This window comes from Homo sapiens, chromosome 3 (assembly GCF_000001405.40).
Source record: "Homo sapiens chromosome 3, GRCh38.p14 Primary Assembly".
NCBI classification, from domain to species: Eukaryota; Metazoa; Chordata; class Mammalia; order Primates; family Hominidae; genus Homo; species Homo sapiens.
Genome location: NC_000003.12, coordinates 154185218 through 154206783, shown reverse-complemented (window position 1 = coordinate 154206783; position 21566 = coordinate 154185218). Strand labels below are relative to the sequence as shown.

At 37.9% G+C, this 21566-nt stretch overlaps 1 protein-coding gene across 5 annotated transcripts in view; it reads right to left on the bottom strand.

Moving 5' to 3' along the window:
* The window catches only part of ARHGEF26 (Rho guanine nucleotide exchange factor 26), a 136823-nt gene that overhangs the window by 51042 nt on the left and 64215 nt on the right, over nt 1-21566 (bottom strand). For all 5 annotated transcript variants that reach the window (NM_001251962.2, NM_015595.4, NM_001251963.2 and 2 more), the window contains exons 7-9: nt 18947-19099; nt 15366-15495; nt 12066-12140 (exon numbers count right to left, since the gene is read on the bottom strand). In NM_001251962.2, the coding sequence (NP_001238891.1) occupies nt 12066-12140; nt 15366-15495; nt 18947-19099 (358 nt within the window). The remainder of the gene's footprint in view (nt 1-12065; nt 12141-15365; nt 15496-18946; nt 19100-21566) is intronic.

The window sequence follows — 21566 nt, the reverse complement described above, 5'->3', positions numbered from 1 at the left end:
TTGTTCCATAGGAATTTTAAAATACTTTTTTTCTAATTCTGTGAAGAATGTAATGGCAGTTTAATAATAAAAGCATTGAATCTATAAATTGCTTTGGGCAGTATTAGCGTTTTAAAGATACTAATTCTTCCCATCCATGAGCATGGAATGTTTTTCCATCTGTTTATGTCATCTCTGATTTCTCTGGGCAGTGGTTTGTAGTTCTCCTTGAAGAGGTCCTTACTTCCCTTGTTAGCTGTATTCTTAGGTATTTTATTCTTTTTGTGTTAATTATGAATGGAAGTTCACTCATGATTTAGCTCTTGGATCGCCCACTCTTGGTGTATAGGAATGTTGGCAATTTTTGCAAATTAATTCTGTGTCCTGAGACTTTGCTCAAGTTGTTTATCAGCTTAAGAAGCTTTTGGAGCCCAGGAGTTTGAGAACAAGCTGGATAACACAGTGAGACCCCATCTCTACAAAAAATAAATAAAACAAAAGCAGCAAGAGAAAAGAGACAAATAACATACAGTGGAGCTGCAATATATCTGGCAGCAGACTTTTCAGTGGAAAGCTTACAGGCCAGGAGAGAGGGGCATGACATATTTCAAGTGCTGAAGGCAAAAAACTTTTACCATAAAATAGTATATCCAGTGAAAATATCCTTCAAACATGAAGGAGAAACAAAGACATTCCCAGACAAACAAAAGCTGAGGCATTTCATCAACACTAGACCTTTCCTGCAAGAAATGCTAAAGGAAGTACTTCAATCAGAAAGAAAATGATATTAATCAATAATAAGTAATCACCTGAAGGTACAAAACTCACTGTTAATAGTAAATACATAGAAAAACACAGAATATTATAACACTGTAACTATGGTGTGTAAACTACCCCTACCCTAAGTAGAAGAGTAAATGATTAACCAATCAAAAATAGTAACTACAACCACTTTTCAAGGCATAGTCAGTACAATAAGATATAAACAGAAACAACAAAATGATTAAAAGTGGGGGTACAAAGTTAAGGCATAGAGTTCTTATTAGTTTTCTGTTTGCTTGTTTCCTTGCTTATGCAAATAGTGCTGTTATTGTGTTAAAATAATGGGTTATAATATTTGCAAGCCTCATGATAACCTTAAACACAAAAAATAAAAAGCAAAAAACTAAATCAGATGAAATAATCTTCACTAGAGGAAGACAAAAAGGAAGGAAAGAAGGAATAGAAGACCACAAAACAACCAGAAAACAAATAACAAAAGGGCAGGAGTAAGTCCATACTTACCAATAATAACATTGAATGTAAATGGACTAAACTCTCTAATCAAAAGACACAGACTGGCAGAATGGATGAAAAAACAAGACTGATTGATCTGTTGCCTACAAGAAACACACTTTACCTATAAAGACACACATAGGCTAAAAACAAAGGATGGAGAAAGATACTCCACGTCAATGGAAACCAAAACAAAAAAAAACAGGAGTTGCTATACTTATATCAGACACAATGGATTTCCAGAAAAAACTGCAAGAAGACACAAAGAAAGTCACTATATAATGATAATGAGGTCAATTCAGCAAGAGGATATAATAATATTAAATATATATGAACTCAACACTGGAACACATAGATATATAAAGCAAATATTATTAAAGGTAAAGAAAGAGATACACCATAGTACCATAATAGCTAGAGACTTCAACATCCCACATTCAGCACTGGGCAGATCTTCCAGACAGAAAATCAACAAAGAAACATCAGACTTAATCTGCACTATAGACCAAATGGATCTAATAGATATTTACAGAACATTTCATCCAGGAGCTATAAAATACACATTCTTTGGATCATTCTCAATAACTGTCCATATTTAGGTCACAAAACAAGTCATAAAATATTCAAAAATTCTGAAGTAATATCAAGCATATTCTTTGACCACAATGAAATAAAACTAAAAATTAGTAACAGGAATTTTGGAACGTGTACAAATACATAGAAATTAAAAAATATGCTCCTGAATGACCAGTAGGTTAAAGAAAAAATTAAGGAAATGTAAAAATTTCTTGAAACAAATGATAATGGAAACACAACATATCAAAACCTATGTGATACACTAAAAGCAGTATAAAGAGGGAATTTTATAGCTGTAAGTGAATAAATCAAAAAAGAGGAAAAGGCTGGGTACAGTGGCTCATGCCTATAATCCCAGCACTTTGGTAGGCCGAGGCGGGGGGATCACTGGAGACCAGGAGATCGAGATCAGCCTGCCAACATGGTGAAACCCCATCTCTACTAAAAAGTAATACAAAAATTAGCCAGGCATGTACCTGTAGTCCCAGCTACTTGAGAGGCTGAGGCATGAGATACGCCTGTACTCAGGAGGCGGAGGTTGCAGTGAACCAAGATCATGCCACTGCACTCCAGCCTGGGAGATACAGCAAAACTCTTGTCTCAAAAAAAAAAAAAAAAAAGGAAAAGAAAAATAAACTAACAATGAAACTCAACCAAACCCAAAATTGGTAGAAAACAAATAATAAAGAAAAACTAAAGGAAATGGAAAATTCCCATACACATACCACCTACCAAGATTGAACCAAGAAGAAATCAAAAAGCTGAATAGACCAGTAACAAGTAATGAGATTGAAGCTGTAATAACAAGTCTCCCAGTAAAGCAAAGCCTGACACTCAATGGCCTCACTGCTGAATTCTACTAAACATTTAAAGAACTAATACCAACCCTACCCCACCTATTCCAGGAAATAGAGGAGGAGGGAATACTTCCAAACTAATTCTACAAGGCCAATATTTCCGTGATACCAAAACCAGACAAAGACACATCAAAAAAGAAAACTACAGGACAATATCTATGATTAATATTAATGCAAAAATCCTCAAAAAAATACTAGCAAATTGAATTCAACAACACATTAGAAAGATTATCAAAAAAAAAAAAAGAGAGATTATCATGGCCAAGCGGGATTTATCCCTGGGATGCAAGGATGGTTCAACATAGGCAAACCAATCAGTGTAATACATTATATCAACCAAATGAAGAACAAAAAAAAATGATCATTTCAATTGTGCAGAAAAAGCATTTGATAAAATTCAACATCCCTTCGTGCTAAAAACCCTCAAAAACTGGGTATAGAAGGAGCATACCCCAACATGATAAAAAATCATATGACAGACCCATAGCTAGTATCAACTGAATGGAGAAAACTGAAAACCTTTCCTCTAATATCTGGAACATAACAAGGATATCCACTTTCACCACCATTATTTGACATAGTACTGGAATCCTAGCTAGTACAATCAAACAAGAGAATGATATAAACACCATCCAAATTTGGAAGGAAGAAATCAAATTATCCTGTTTGCAGATGATAAGATCTCAATAAAATACTGGTAACCCGAATCCAGCAGCACATCAAAAAGCTTATCCACCATGATCAAGTGGGCTTCATCCCTGGGATGCAGGGCTGGTTCAATATATGCAAATCAATAAATGTAATCCAGCATATAAACAGAACCAAAGACAAAAACCATATGATTTCTCAACAGATGCAGAAAAGGCCTTTGACAAAATTCAACAACCCTTCATGCTAAAAACTCTCAATAAATTAGGTATCAATGGGACGTATCTCTAAATAATAAGAGCTATCCATGACAAACCCATAGCCAATATCATACTGAATGGGCAAAAACTGGAAGCATTCCTTTTGAAAACTGGCACAAGACAGGGATGCCCTCTCTCCCCACTCCTATTCAATATAGTGCTGGAAGTTCTGACCAGGGCAATCAGGCAGGAGAAGGAAATAAAGGGTATTCAATTAGGAAAACAGGAAGTCAAATTGTCCCTGTTTGCAGATGACATGATTGTATATCTAGAAAACTCCATCGTCTCAACCCAAAATCTCCTTAAGCTGATAGGCAACTTCAGCGAAGTCTCAGGATACAAAATCAATGTGCAAAAATCACAAGCATTCTTATACACCAATAACAGACAGAGAGCCAAATCATGAGTGAACTCCCATTCACAATTGCTTCAAAGAGAATAAAATACCTAGGAATCCAACTTACAAGGGACATGAAGGACCTCTTCAAGGAGAACTACAAACCACTGCTCAACGAAATAAAAGAGGATACAAACAAATGGAAGAACATTCCATGCTCATGGGTAGGAAGAATCAATATCTTGAAAATGGCCATACTGCCCAAGGTAATTCATAGATTCAATGCCATCCCCATCAAGCTACCAATGACTTTCTTCACAGAACTGGAAAAAACAACTTTAAAGTTCATATGGAACCAAAAAAGAGCCCACATTGCCAAGTCAATCCTAAGCCAAAAGAACAAAGCTGGAGGCATCACGCTACCTGACTTCAAACTATACTACAAGGCTGTAACCAAAACAGCATGGTACTGGTACCAAAACAGAGATATAGACCAAGGGAACAGAACAGAGCCCTCAGAAATAATGCCGCATATCTACAACTATCTGATCTCTGACAAACTTGACAAAAACAAGAAATAGGGAAAGGAATCCCTATTTAATAAATGGTGCTGGGAAAACTGGCTAGCCATATGTAGGAAGCTGAAACTGGATCCCTTCCTTACACCTTATACAAAAATTAATTCAAGATGGATTAAAGACTTAAATGTTAGACCTAAAACCATAAAAACTCTAGAAGAAAACCTAGGCAATACCATTCAGGACATAGGCATGGGCAAGGACTTCATGTCTAAAACACCAAAACAAATGGCAACAAAAGCCAAAATTGACAAATGGGATCTAATTAAACTAAAGAGCTTCTGCACAGCAAAAGAAACTACCATCAGAGTGAACAGGCAACCTACAAAATGGGAGAAAATTTTCGCAACCTACTCATCTGACAAAGGGCTAATATCCAGAATCTACAATGAACTCAAACAAATTTACAAGAAAAAAACAAACAACCCCATCAACAAGTGGGTGAAGGATATGAACAGATACTTCTCAAAAGAAGACATTAATGCAGCCAAAAGACACATGAAAAAATGCTCATCATCACTGGCTATCAGAGAAATGCAAATCAAAACCACAATGAGATACCATCTCACACCAGTTAGAATGGCAATCATTAAAAAGTCAGGAAACAACAGGTGCTGGAGAGGATGTGGAGAAATAGGAACACTTTTACACTGTTGGTGGGACTGTAAACTAGTTCAACCATTGTGGAAGTCAGTGTGGCGATTCCTCAGGGATCTAGAACTAGAAATTTCATTTGACCCAGCCATCCCATTACTGGGTATATACCCAAAGGATTATAAAACATGCTGCTATAAAGACACATGCACATGTATGTTTATTGTGGCACTATTCACAATAGCAAAGACTTGGAACCAACCCAAATGTCCAACAATGATAGACTGGATTAAGAAAATGTGGCACATATACACCATGGAATACCATGCAGCCATAAAAAATGATGAGTTCATGTCCTTTGTAGGGACATGGATGAAGCTGGAAACCATCATTCTCAGCAAACTATCTCAAGGACAAAAAACCAAACACTTCATGTTCTCACTCTTAGGTGGGAATTGAACAATGAGAACACATGGACACATGAAGGGGAACATCACACACTGGGGCCTGTGGTGGGGTCGGGGGAGGGGGCAGGGATAGCATTAGGAGATAAACCTAATATTAAATGAAGAGTTAATGGGTGCAGCACACCAACATGGCACATTTATACACATACGTAACAAACCTGCACCTTGTGCACATGTACCCTAAAACTTAAAGTATAATAAAAAAAAATCTTATATTTGATCTCCACAAAATAAAAACTATCAGAATAAACAAATTCAGTAAAGTTGCAGGATACAAAATCAACATACAAAAATCAGTAGCATTTCTATATGCCAACAGTGAACAATGTGAAAAAGAAATTAAAAAGTAATCTCATTTACAATAGCCACATGTAAAATTAAGTACTTAGGAATTAACCAAAGAAGTGAAAGATCTCTATAAGAAAAACTATGAAACACTGATAAAAGAAATTGAAGAAGACACTAAAAAATTAAAAAATATTCCATGTTCATGGATTGGAAGAATCAATATTATTAAAATTATTAAATTAAATTATTAAATTAAAATTATTAAAAAGTCCATACTACCCAAAGAATTCTACAGATTCAATGTAAATCCTAACAAAATACCAATGACATTCTTTACAAAAATATAAAAAATCCTAAAATGTATATGAAACCACAAAAGACCCAGAATAGCCAAAGCTGTCCTAAGCAAAAAGAACAAAATTGGAAGAATGACTTTACCTGACTTCAAATTATATTACAGAGCGATAATAACCAAGACAGCATGGTACTGGCATAAAAACAGACACATAGGCCAGTGGAGCAGAAAAAAGAACTTAGAAACAAATCCACACACCTACAGTGAACTCATTTATGACAAAAGTGCCAAAAACATACACTGAGGAAAAGACAGTCTCTTTAATAAATGGTGCTGAGAAAACTGAATATCCATATGCAGAAGAATAAAACTATACCCCTATCTCTTACCATATACAAAAATCAAATCAAAATGGAGTAAATACTTAAATCTAAGACCTCAAACTATAAAAGTACTACAAGAAAATATTGGGGAGAATCTCCAGCACATTGGTCTGGGCAAAAATTCCTTGAAAAATACCCTACAACCACAGGCAGCCAAAGCAAAAATGGACAAATGGGATCACAACAAGTTAAAAGGCTTCTGCAGAGCAAAGTATAGAGTCAACAAAGGGAAGAGACAACCCCCAGAATAGAAGGAAAATATGTGCAAGCTAGCCATCTGACAAGGGATTAATAACCAGAATACATAAGGAGCTCAAATAACTCTATAGAAAAAAAATCTAATAATCCAATCAAAAATGGGCAAAGATTTGAATAGACATTTCTCAAAAGACATACAAATGGCAAACAGGCATATGAAAAGGTCAACATCACTGATCATTAGCGAGATGCAAATCAAAACTACAATGAGATATCATCTTATTCCAGTTAAAATGGTTTATATCCAAAAGACAGGCAATAACAAATGCTGGCAAGGATGTGGAGAAAAGAGAACCCTCATACACTGATGGTGGGCATGTAAATTAGTACAACCACTATGGAGAACAGTTTGGAGGTTCCTTAAAAAACTAAAAATTGATTACCATATGATTCAGAAATCCTACTGCTGGGTATATACCCAAAATAAAGGAAAGTAGTATATCAAAGAGATATCTGCCCTTCTATGTTGGCTGCAGCACTGTTTACAATAGCTAAGATCTGGAAGCAACCTAAATGTCCATCAGTAGATGAAAGAATGAAGAAAATGTAGTACATACACACAATGGAGTATCATGCAGCCATGAAAAAGAATGATATCTAGTCATTTGCAACAACACGGCTGGAACTGGAGGTCATTATGTTAAATGAAATAAGCCAGACACAGAAAGACAAACATTACATGTTCTCATTTTTGGGATTTAAAAATTTTTTTTAAAAATGAACTCATGGACATAGAGAGTAGAATGATGCTTACCAGAGGCTAGGAAGGGTAGTCGGGGGCTGGGGAGGAGGTGGGGATGGTTAATGGGTATAAAAAAAAAATAAAATGAACAAGACCTACTATATGATCTATGTGATAGCACAACAGGGTGACTACAGTCAATAATAACCCCCTACATTTTAAAATAAAGAGTTTAACTGAATTATTTTTAACTCAAAGGATAAATGCTTGAGGGGATGGATACCCCATTCTCCATGATGTGCTTATTTCACACTGCATGCCTATATCAAAACATCTCATGTACCTCATAAATATATGTACCTACTATGTACCCACAAAATTAATAAAATAATAAAAATACTTTTGTATCTACTTATCTATAAAAAAATTTATTTCAATACTTTTCAGGGAGCAGGTAGTTTTTGATTCCATGGAGAAGTTCTTTAGTGGTGATTTAGGAGATTTTGGTGTACCCATCACCTGAGCAGTGTACACTGTGCCCAATGTGTACTCTTTTATCCCAAGCCCTTTTCCCCCTTCTCCCCAAGTCCCCATAGTCCATAATATCATTCTTATGCCTTTGCATCCTCATAGCTTAGCTCCCACTTATAAGTCAGAACACATGATATTTGGTTTTCCATTCCTGAATTACTTCACTTAGAATAACGGTCTCCAACTCCATCCAAGTTGCTGCAAATGCCATTATTTTGTTTCTTTTTACAACTGAGTAGTATTCCATGGTGTATATATGCCACATTTCCTTTACCCATTCATTGGTTGATGGACATTTGGATTAGTTCCATATTTTTGCAACTGCAAATTGTGCTGCTATAAACATGAGTGTGCAAGTGTCTTTTTCACATAATGACTTCTTTTCTTTTGGGTAGATATCCAGTAGTGGGATTGCTGGATTGAATGGTAGCTCTACTTTTAGTTCTTTAAGGAATCTCCATACTGTTTTCCATATTGGTTGTACTAGTTTACATTCCCACCATCAGGGTAAAAGTGTTTCCTTTTCACCACATCCATGCCAACATCTACTATTTTTTATTTTTGAATTATGGCCATTTTTGCAGGAGTAAGGTGGTACCTCATTGTGGTTTTAATTTGCCTTTATAGTTAGTGATGCTGAGCATTTTTTCACGTTTGTTGGCCATTTGTCATACACATGTACTTCTTTGTAAATGGCTGAAGCAATACGTTATACGAAAAGATTAAATAGAGCTTGACTATTTTGCCTCTGGGAGAAAGGCTCATAATGTAACACTATCTCCAACTCTAAACGGAATTTTGATGAGGTCAGAGTTAAAGCAGACATTCTCTTTCCATGGGAGAGTAAACAGAAGGAAATAACAGGGAAGATTCATTTGGCATAAGACCATCTCTTGATCACTATTCCTTACATGGTACACATCACTCTAGATGAGCTGAATTACCAGATTCCTATGGAAATTATCAGATTCCCTAGAATTTCTCCCCCCAGCATGTTAACAGAAAATCAGGAGGTAAGCACATTTTCATTTTATAGAAATGTTGTTCTTGTTTTTGAGTTGTTTGATTAGGTCAGTAAGTCTTTCCAAGGCCCTAAATTAAAGAAATTGTCACAGTCTTTAAGGCAACATGCATGAGCAATTTCAGCAAAGTATTATTCGCATCTTGCAAATAAACTGCATTATTTTAACTACCAAAATGGTATGACTCTTTTTTTCCAAGAATGAGTAACTACCTAGAGAGACTTACCCAAGACATTAAGGCAGCATCTGGTTCTAAACCTTGGGCCTCAACATACCAAATTTAACTCTCTAAAATAAAATATTGGGAACTCCCAATTTCTCTGATAAAGCAAACAAGTGTAGTTCTACATTTTCATTCTAAACCATAAATGCTCTCTATGCATACTCTTTCTGCTGAAAATATTCATATTGTTTTCCCAGATTCTATAAAACCTCATCAGTAACCTTTACAAATAAAAAAGAAGATTAATTATTGAGCTGACTATATCAACGATTTCAGTTTCCCTGTAACGCTGGGAGACTGAAGGAATATTTCTAATATTCATGATTCATGCTCAATAGAGAGAAAGGAATGATGCCCTTCAGAGAAAGCAAGTCACTGGAATGACATCTCTTCACATGATAGCTTTTTGTATACTTATAGTATCAAGGTAAAGCAACTCACTGGTCTATTACATTTTTGCCAGCCTTTCCTGAAAGTATCAGTATGAAATCAAGTGAACAAGAGATGCCTGAAGGAATGTAGTAATCTACTGTAACTGAGATGTAAAATTCTTGAAAAAAATTAAGTAACATTCCAGGTTTAATTCAACAACCAACTACTAGTACCTTCCTATTTTTTTCTCTGTGCAAATTCTTTTTTTTTTTCAATTTCTTAGTAACAACCAGGCAAAATTTGTCAAAATCCCATTTATGTCCAAGACTAGAACTTCTCTAGTAGTTTCTCCTAAAAACCTTCCCCCGTTTCCCTCCCCAGTTCCTCCTCTAGGAAAGCAGCACAGGACTTGAGGTCTTGGAGGAAGCACCACTGGCAATAGTACCTTAGGTAACTTCTCACTTGTCAGGCTTTCTTTACTTACTGTTCCCAAAATAGGTGTGCAGACCACTGATGGGATGAAGAGATGAATTTAAGTGGCTCACAGATACACTTACTTTTACTACAAAAATGTTAGAAAAATAAACAACTAATAAAACCCATGATTTTGTAAATATTATTGGCAAGGAAGAGGGTAAGTAAAATGGTGACTCGATGTAAATTGACTAAAAGAAACAGTACTTCATAGCAAAGTGGTACAAAGCCATACCCAATTCATATAGGGCTATGTAACTGGAGACATTTAGGAAGCTTCTGATGCTACCATTATCTTTGCTCCTCTGTGCCAACCTCATACAGTATCCTCAGTGACACCTACACCTTCTATTGCTTCCTCTCAGCTAGATATTTCTATCAGTAGCTAACCCTACCTACATTTTTCTAATCTTTAAACAAATACACTAACGAAGACCCTCTCTCACTTCCCTTTCAGCTACAGCTCTTTCTCTTTCTACTCCCTGAATTTAGACAGTTAGCTACCACTGCCGGCTGGCTGCATATTCACACCTCCCTCTCATTTCTCAATACACTCAGCTCAGGTTCCCTATCCCCGCCCCCCAACCCCAGTATACAACCTACTGATGATAAACCTAAGGATAACTTCAATCATTATCCCACTTTATCTTTCAGAAGCATTCAACAGAGTTAACCACCAAATTAACTGCCATTTGCCAAGCTATTACGGTTTTCCTTCCTCTTCCCTGGTATGTTTTACTTTGTTTTGTTCTTTTTAGTTTTCTCCACTGGCTCATTTTCCCTAATAAGACTATGAATGCTAGCATTCCTCATGGTCATTCCTCAGGCTCACTGCCCTTCTCATTCCAGTCTCCCTAAGTAACCTCATCCACTCACCCAGCTTCAACTATTGTCCATATGCTGATGATTCCCAAATCCATGTCTCCAGTTCAGGTCTCCTCTCTGAGCTTCTGATTTGTTTATTTAGCCAACTTGGACGTTCTATAGGAATCTCAATGACAACACAACCCAAATGGAACTTATCCACTCTCCCTATGTTTCTATCGTAGATGAAGGAAGAGCATCTACCTCGCTGCCCAAGCCACAGACAATATTCCTTGACTTCTGTCCTGAAATGTGCTCACCCAATCAGTTTCCAAGTCTGCCTCCCCAGTATACAGGTAGACTTCTCACCACCTTACCATCATGTCAATAGGGGCCACTGCCATCCCTTGCCTAATCAACTATCACTGGCCTCAGAACTGGCCCCATCACCACTATCATCTTCATAATACATGAATTTAGCCTCTACATCATCTTACGATCAGGCCCCCAACAGCCTAGCATGTATAACAAGGCCCCACACAGCTGGTTCCCTAGTGCTGTCTCTCAGATTGCATCCTAGCCACATGGAGAACATTCCAGTTCTTCAAAATCTCCAATATTTTCTTGCCTTTGGACCTCTACACATACCTGAGACACTCTCTTCCCCCAATCCTGGGCTCACAGCCACTCCTGTGTTAGGTCTCAGCTTAGACACCACTGTGGACTTCCCTATCACATCACCCACTACCCTTCATTGTAACTCTGTTTAATGTCTGCCCTCCTCTTTCCACTGCACATTCCACGAGCACAGTGACTACACGTGCCTCACTCATCACTGCATTTCCAAGAACTGGCATCATTCTTGGCACAGTGGTTGATACTCAATAAACATTTACTGAACGAGAAATGAATAAACAGCTATTCAGCCACCAAAAGAAAATGAGGTATCTGTAGGCTCTTAAAACAAAACTGTCTGAAACAGTAAAAATACCAACTTCACCTGAGTATAGCAAATATGATTTTGTTTTGCAACTACCTAAAGAACGCTGTACAAATGGCTGTGAGACTCTACCAGTTTTCAGCATCAAGCCAAGACACACTTTGTGTCTGAGCTAACTGAATGGTTTCCTGTCTTACAAACAAACTGTCACCCAACAGTTACCTTGCTAACTTCCTTCAAGGCTCTTTTGCAGACTTCATACTTCGGAGAGTCCTTAGGTGTTTTTTGACAGATAGTCTGTAATGAAATAAAAGTGAACAAAATTTATTGATCTATTTTATTAAGTAAAATAAAACCAATGTCCAGCCATATCCTTTTACTCATAGCAAACAATGCCAAACACGATATTACGGATGAGTATGAGGATAATATTAAAACCCAATTTAAAAACCAGGAAATAATCTTTAAACACAGGATCCAAGTCCATCCAGGGAATGGTTAAGAAAGATAGAATTCAGAGGTGGGTAACCCTGGTTTCAAATCCCAGGTCTGCCCTTACTAGTTATCAAATCTTGAGCAAGTCACTAACTCTATCTTTATAAGCCTCTCTTTCCTCATCTGTAAAACTGGGGTGATGCCAGCTACATCACAAGGTTGTTAGAAGTGTTAATGATAATTTATGTAAAGTTCTTTATTAGTGCCTGGCATAGGGTATGCCCTCAATAAATAAGAGTTACTTTAATTATCACCATTATAATCATTATTATTAGAGGCAATTATATTTATAGATGATACATTTTGAATAAAAAGAACAGCCAGGCACAGTGGCTCATGTCTGTAATCCCAGCACTTTGGAAAGCCAAGGCAGGCAGAATACTTGAGTCCAGGAGCCAGGGCAATATGGAAAAACCCCATCTCTACAAAAATACTAAAAGAAAATTAGCCAGGCATGGTGGTGTGCACCTGTGGTCCCAGCTACTCAGGAGGCTAAGGTGGGAGGGTCACTTGAGCCTGGGAGGTGGAGGTTGCAGCGAGCCGAGATCGCACCATTGCACTCCTGGGTGACAGCATCTCAAAGAAAAAACAGTCAAAAAAAAACCCAAAAAAACCAGCAAAGGAAAAAAAGCCTGCTAGGTTTTCTGTTGATATATTTATACTGAGAAATTTCATTTGTGATAGGAAAATCAGGTCAAACAGGGTCAATTCACGGTAAATTTAATTACATATAACTTTAAAGCTATACACACACATTCAAAGCCCAGGGAACCACTTTAATTACTGAAAGTGTTTATTTTAATGAACAAGCTTAACTGAATTTCCAAATGAGGTAAAATTGAAGAGACACTATTTTAAATACATTTACATTCTGCCTAAATGGCCAGATTTCCACACATGAGAAACAGATTAGAGCAACAGGCATCAGGCAGAGGTAGAAAGTAGTTGGCTACTAGCAAGTCACTGGTCCCTTAAATGTACAGAAGCACCAAGCCAAGCCATCTGAAAGTCAGGCATCAAGATTTTTAACTATCTGCTATGTGAGAAACACAGAGTGCACCATCTGTGGAGGTTCTTATATTTTTTGACTATGACTCACTGTAAGAAATACTTTTACACTGCAACCAGCACACATGCACACATAAATGAACCAGGATTTTATGAAACAATATTTAACCACTTTATGAGCAACGTACATATGCTCATAATTCAAAAATCAGTTTTATGGCCCACTAATGGGTATGAAAGCAGCATGAAAAATACTGGTTTATGTCCCTGAGAGCAGGCATCCTTAGCTGGATTCCATATATTGATATTTTATGTAAAATTTTGTGCATACACATATTCTCTGGGAAGAAAAGCTATAGCTTTACTCAGAATCTCAAGGGGGGGTCTGTGGCTTAAAAAAAGTTTAAAGCCTACTGAGCAATCATGGCATGAATCTCCAACACTGTATAACATAATGTGTTAGATTTTAGAGTCCCATTCCATACAAGTAATTTTCTCAAATTTAAAGAGGATATAAAAGGCTTGGCCATCACAGCATATATAAAATCTGGAAAACATGTTTAAAATGCATTTTATTTATTTTTGTTCTTTTATTTCAATTCTCAAAGAGGAATAAAATGCATTTTCAGAAGAAGAAAACCCTGAAAATTCAAAAGTCTAATATTACAAGAAATGTTGTATTTACAAGGCATTCACTTCTTGCTTAAAAAAATAGTCATGTTTGAAATAATACTTCCTTATATGGACCAAAGTTTCCTTCTTAAGCAAAAATTCGATTCTGATAACTTAGCCACATTCTATCTTTAAACATGATAAATACTGATCTCAAAAAAAAATCAGAAAGTGAAATGTTCAAAACTGCAAGCTTCCCAATATGTACACAGGGGGGAAGTTCCTGAATTACAGGTGATGGGTGGAGAAGGTGTAAAGGCAGTAGATCGAAGTAAACTTGAGGAGCACAAGGTGCTATGAATCCTGAAATACCTGACAAAACGTCTCCAAAACTGCAGCAGTCAGCTAAATGCTCATGATTCCATGCTTTTACACATTTCAAAATTTCAGCATTTTTAAAGAATGTATTTTAGAATTTACAATGGGATACAGAATGTGAAATTTACTTTGTAACCTTAATCATAATTTTTAATATATATTTTACTTTGTTTTGATTAGTCAAAATCAGGTATGTAAAAAGTTGACCTTATATCAACATTATGATCCAATTTTAAAGTAGGAAAATCATAACAAAATATTTTCTAATTAGATCAAAAAGACACTCTGTGATCCACTGCTAGAATGGCACCTGTGTCGAGCCACCCCACTTTTCTCTTTTGCTGCCCCAGCAGCTCCAGTGCAGCCAGTGGCAGGCTCTCCTGCCCATAGCCTACCTGTCTTTCCAGCTGCACGTACTACTAGGCAGACTCTACTCACTTTTCCCAGTCATGTCTTGCCGTGATTCAAAGTCAAAAACACTTGCTTTCCTCATGAATGCTGCCTAACACAAGAAGGAAGCTGGGCTTTCCTCACTCACTTCGCACAATGCATAATACAGGCAGTACTATGCCTTGTCATGCTGAAGAGACTCTCATTCCTGTATGAAATGGAAGGCCCAGGGCACCTTGGAACATTATAGATGAAGGGATCTCAGTGATCAGTCTGAGGAATCTTAGGCCCAAAGAGACTGAGTTGCTCAAGGTCACATGCCTAATGGCTTAGCTAGAATTGGAATCCAGGCCTCCTGACATAAAGAAGCCACAACTCTTCCTATTTCAAAAAATGCTGAGTAAGTGGGTGATGAGATCCAATTTCTTCAGAATGACCATAGAAGCCTAAATGAAAGATAATTTCCAGAGATATCAGATACAGGTGAGACTTTCTGAACAAACAACACCTTCTCACTTAATTGGGGGATTTTTAGACCTTTAAATATGCATCAATTTAAGTGGAATAATAATAATTTTCTAAATCAGATTTAGAGAAGCACAGCTATCCACAGAGGAAAAAGCCACCGTCATGTCTTACATCCATCAGCAGGGGAAGGCGGGTCACCCTCTGCATGGGGAGAATGAGAAAAGAGATCATGGGTAAGTTCCTACAGTCTTCATGGGACTCAATCCTTGACAATACTTCCTTAAAGGATGGATTGGTAGCTCTGAGGGAAAACAAAGAAAAGAGAAACTTCAAAATATTTCCTCCTCAAATTAAGCAGCAAGTAAAAATGTATTACAAAATACTGTGATAAATCCATATAGCATCAACTATTTTAAACTGTATGAAAATATCATAAGCACATAATTACACTGGCAAATACGAATGGCTTGTCTGCCTTTTATATTCAAGGCTGAATATAATAAGATGTGGATTTCACATAACAGTATTAACAATAAGGCAAAACATGTAGGAGCTAGAAATTTATACAAGTGGAAGGTAAGCAAATGAAGAAGCTGTGGTATCATAATGGTGAATATATGGGTCATAAATCAGTATACAGACTAGGTCTTTTATATCCGATCATCTATAAACATATATCATTAATAAGATCATAAATAATATGTTTTAAGCCACTTCTCCAGCCCTAGACAATGGCATAAGAAATTAACAGTTAGACTGGACTTCAGAGGCTTTAGGCCACAAAGATCCTCTTTCTGAGACAGAAAACCTTTTCATCACATCAGTCGAAATATTCCTCTTTTTCTCCTGTTAATGCAAGAAAAGTATTAATGCTGCTATAACATTTTAATGAAACTTAGCGAGATACTGTGACATACATTCTTTCATGTGGAACCACCTACGTAACTTTTAAGGAAGGCCAGATAGGGATTCCAGTAAGAAAATGGAATGCAGAAAGGTCCCTACCTCACCAAGTAAATATGACTTAGTAACTGCCAAAGACAGAAGTCAAACCCAGGTTTGTTTGTTTGTTTGTTTGTTTTGAGATGGAGTCTTGCTCTATCACCTAGGCTGGAGTGCAATGGCACAATCTCGGCTCACTGCAGCCTCTGCCTCCCAGGTTCAAGCAATTCTATGCCTCAGCCTCACAAGTAACTGGGATTACAGGTGTGTGCCATGACGCCCAGCTAATTTTTGTATCTTTAGTAGAGAAAAGGTTTCATGTTGGCCAGGGTAGTCTCGAACTCCTGGCCTCAAGTAATCCACCTGCCTCGGCCTCCCAAAGTGGTGGGATTACAGGCGTGAGCCACTGTGCCTGGCCTCAAACCCAAGTTTTCTAATGTTAAATCTGACACTCTTGTCCCCCCATTTCTCACTCTCTTACCTCACTTCATCCCATGAGGAGCTCTGTAGAGTTCCACTGCCACTTTCCAAGGCAAGGAGGGTAGGAGGTAGATGGATATTGTACTCCCATGAAGGGAGAAGGAAGCAGGATAGTGACAATAGCAGTCATTTTTTTTAAAAAAAATGTTATTTTGAAAATTAAATAATCTTGTTCAAGGCTGCTACTAAAAGCAGGGAGGGGGAGAATGCCAGAATAGCAAATGAAAAGAAATTATACAGAAACAATTCATTTCCATTTTCTCTAATTGAGAAGTTTTAAGTTTCCTTTTACTGATAGCTTTGACAAGATTTTTAGAAAGTTAAAAAAAAAAAACAAAAACCTCTAAATTAGTTGTATATTTAAATAACTCAGGTCCCAGTCCCCTCCCTCACCTTCCAAAGGTTCTGATTAAATAGTCTGGGATGGACTCTGGACAGTGTACATTTGCTCATTTTCAGGCCCCAAGGCATTTCTAACATGCAGCTAGAATTGAAAGCCACTGTTCTAACCTTAAATTCACATAAACTGCGGGCTGGGCGCAGTGGCTTACGCGTGTAATCCCAGCACTTTGGGAGGCAGAGACAGGTGGATCACGAGGTCAGGAGATCAAGACCATCCTGGCTAATACGGTGAAACCCAGTCTCTACTAAAAATACAAAAAATTAACTGGGTGTGGTGGCATGCACTTGTAGTCCCAGCTACACGGGAGGCTGAGGCAGGAGAATCGCTTGAACCTGGGATGCAGAAGTTGCAGTGACCCAAGATTGCGCCACTGCACTCCAGCCTGGGTGACAGAGTGAGACTCCATCTCAAAAAAAAAAAAAAAAAAAAATCACATCAACTGCAACAAATCCCCTGAAAACACTACTAATTGCCACGTGAAAGTGCTGATGATGTTATCATTAAGCTAATTTAGATAAAACCTTTAAGAGTCACATGATGTATAGCAGTACCTAGTGACATTTTTTAAATCCTGCAAAACAAAATGAAACCCAAATTTATCTCTAATTCAAGGCTTTGTTTTCAGACATGAACTTGCATTCTCTAACAGTTACAGAGAACCTCTGTTCCTATAGCAGCGGTTCCCACCAGGGCGTGGTGGAGTGAGGAAGTGATGGGTGTGGTTTTACCCTCAGGGGACCTTCTGCAATGTCTGGGGAGATTTTTGGCATCTAGCAGATGGAAGCCAGGGATGCCCTTAAGCATCTTAAAATGCATAGGACAGCCCACCACAAAGACTTATCCAGTCCAAAATGTCAATTGTGCGAACAAACCCTGCTTTATACTAAAAATCTCATTGGGGTTAGCAGCTGTGTGTTTTCCACCCTGGCTATATGAAAATGTCATGAAGATGTGGAGGAAAAAGGGGGCCATCATCAGCCCTTCTCATCAGCTTAGAGGCTTTGACTATTTCTCCAAGCAGCCATAAGTTAGTCATCCTCAACCCCTACTCCTCCATAGGGGTCTCACATATTGCACAGAAGTTGACCGAAGCTCCATGCCGTGGTCATAAATGCCACAACTCACAGGAGGGGGTGAGAACGATAACAGCCATTAAGCTCCCAAACTGGGTTTACAGCAGTGCACAACTGTGCTGTAAAACAGCTACTTGTGATAAACAGGACTCTTTAAAATACATATAGGCATTACTGAACAATTGGTGACTCTTTTAAGGACACAGATGGCATATGCATCACATCAAAACTCTCAGTAACCTAAAAAGGACAAAAAGAAAAGATGTGGCAGGAAATCTAATGCTTAACTCTTTTGCTGCATAACTGAAATCTTTAAGAACATTACTTTTTTCTACTGCTTTCCTTCAGAACTTCCCTCCTCTCTTCAACTCTAACTACCCAAGTGGGGGGAATAATCAGCAATTTTTATGAACAATTTATTATCGTTGTCAATTGAATGGAGGGAGATCAGAATAGTAGAGAAAACTCTGAATCTTAGCTTTTAGCTCAATCAACTCAAGAATCCCCTCTAAGCCTCAGGAAAACCACTTAATTGCCAGTAAAAAGCTTAGAAAACTGCGGGTTTAGAGTGAGGACCACCTCTGTTTCCTGCAACAATTAAAAACAACGAAACACTAAACAAGGACATCAATAACAAGCTATAATTTCGTAAGAGAGAAAATTCTCTACACACTAGATTTTTCTACTTAAACACCCTCACCCTAAAAGTAATGCTCTTAAACATTTCTCCTCTGGGAAATAGCCTATCAGGAGGCATTTCTAAATATAATTCAAAAGATCAATTAATTTCAGTCAATGTAGCCTAATTAAAACTAGGTTAGATGATTAAAACTGTAGCATTCGACATTGCTTACAACAATTTTTGTAGTGTTCGTTGTTGGTAGACTTCATTTGTGCAGTATTTCACATATGGGTCAAATGTGGATGCTGTGTGTTTTTCCACAATGTCACTTATGTCATCTATGAAGATATTATTCTGATGTCTTGCTTCCAACTCTATAAAGAACCTGAAAAACCAAAGGGAAAAAAAAATTAACACTTCTTTCATACACTCTAACAGATAACAGATTAGCCTCATGTAATGTTATTACACGGGGTTTGAAAATTCAACAGTACACAGTACCAACTAAAAAATATTTTTAAAATCTATAAAAATTTTATCTAAGTTTAAATCTATCATATTAACACCTCCTTGAGGATGAGCATTGTGGCTCACGCCTATAATCTCAGCACTTTGGGAGGCTGAGGCAGGAAGATCACTTGAGGCCAGGAGTTCAAGACAAGACAAAACCAAAAAAAAAAAAAAAAAAATCAAGTTATTGCTTCAAGTGTTTGGCTTCAAACATTGATCTGCTCTGCCTTCAGGTACTTTAGACTAAACATATTTCATTATTTTTCAAGAATTCTTTATGGGAAGGGGAGTGAATGCTTATATATTTTATTGTATGGAAAAATACATGAGCAAAACACCTAAATAAATGCTTAAAAAATAAGTCTGAGGCCAGGAGGTGTGGTGGCTCACATGTGTAATCCCAGCACTCTGGGAGGCCGAAGCGGGTGGATTATGAGTTGAAGGGATCGAGACCATCCTGGCCAACATGGTGAAACGCCGTCTCTCCTAAAAATACAAAAATTAGACAGGTGTGGTGGCACGCAGCTGTAGTCCCATCTACTCAGGAGGCTGAGGCAAGAGAATCGCTTGAACCCAGGAGGCGGAGGTTGCAGTGAGCCGAGATCACGCCACTGGACTCCAGCCTGGCGACAGAGACTCCGTCTCAAAAAAAAAAAAAAAAAAAAAAAAAAAAGTCTGAAATAAATCTAACAGTATATGTTTTTTTCTCAAAATAAAAACAATCACATTATTTTAAATCTGATAATATACATGATATTTAAATCCCTCCCTCCCTTTCCCTCTTTCTTTCTTTCTTCTGAGAAAGGGCCTCACTCTGTCACCCAGGCTGGAGTGCACTGGCATTATCTCACCTCACTGCAACTTCTGCCTCCCGGGATCAAGTGATTCTCCTGCCTCAGCCTCCTGAGTAGCTGGGATTACAGGCATGTGCCACCATGCCTGGCTAATTTTTATGTTTTTTAGTAGAGACGGGGTTTCACCATATCGGCCAGGCTGGTCTCTAACTCCTGACCTCAACTGATCTACCCACCTTGGCTTCCCGAAGTGTTGGGATTACAGGTGTGAGCCACTGCACCCGGCCAGGGTTACCAGATTTAGTGTATAAATAGATAGCAATTTAGGGTCACCTAAATAGATATACACATACAAGTGTATATATCTATAATACACATATGATATATATCATTATATATGTCATATAGATAGCAATTGTTTATCCATTCATCTGCTGATGGAGACTTGAGTAGTTTCCAGTTTTTGGCTACCTGGAATAATGCTGCTATGAACATCTGCATACGAATATCTATTCTTGTGTCTGTTTTCAAGTCTCTGGGGTATATTCCTATCAGTGGAATTTTAACCACACTGACTGTACAATAGTATGTGTATAGGGGTGTGTGTGTGTGTGTGTGTGTGTGTGTGTCTAAGTGTGTGTAGAGAAACGGTAGCATAATACTTGAACCAAAACAGAAGAAGCTGAATTATATGCCAAGGAGAGGTTAGCTCATTAAACAAAATTTAGTAAGAAATGATCCTTTCCCTCCCAACACTCACAGTGGAGCGGTTGATGGGAGGCATGCAGCCAATTACAATACAGGATCTATAACACAGGTGTGGTAATAATAAGTATTTGGTCTTCATCCCTGGTCCTTGGAACACAGCTCCTTGAAATACCTGGAATCTCCAGTGACAGGAGTGTCTTTTGTATGCCAGTGAGATGACTGGTAGCTGGGGACCCTTAGATAGCTTCAGCATGGCTCTCAGCATGCCAGAAAGACCAAGGCATGATTGCAGAGCTGGAACTTTCAGCCATGCCTGCCTATCTCCAGTCATAAGAAGAGAAGAGTTTGAGTTCAATTGCCAAGGAACAATGATTTAATCAATAGTGCCTATGTAATGGAGCCTCCACAATAACCCTTAACTGATGGGGTTAGGGAGGGTCGATGAACACCTTGAGGTGCTGGGAGAGTAGCAGGCCCTGAGAGGGACTAGGTGGTCTGCAGTACCTGCACCCCCTCCAGCCTTGCCCTGTAACAATCCTTGTATTTGGCTGTTCTTGAGTCGTACCCTATATAATAAAGCAGAAATTGTAGAGTACCTTCCTGAGTTCTGTGAGCCATTTTAGCAAATCATCAGGGCCTGAAATAGGGGTGGATTGTGGAAATCCCCCCACAACTTTGTAGCCAAGTAGAAGAGAAGTGTGGGTAACCTGGGGACCCAATACTTGCATCTGCCGTCTTAAATGAGGGCAGTATTGTGGGCTGAAACCTTAAACCTGTGGAGTGTGATGCAAACTCAGGGTGGTTAATGTAGGAACTTAAATTGTAGGACCGGAACTGTAG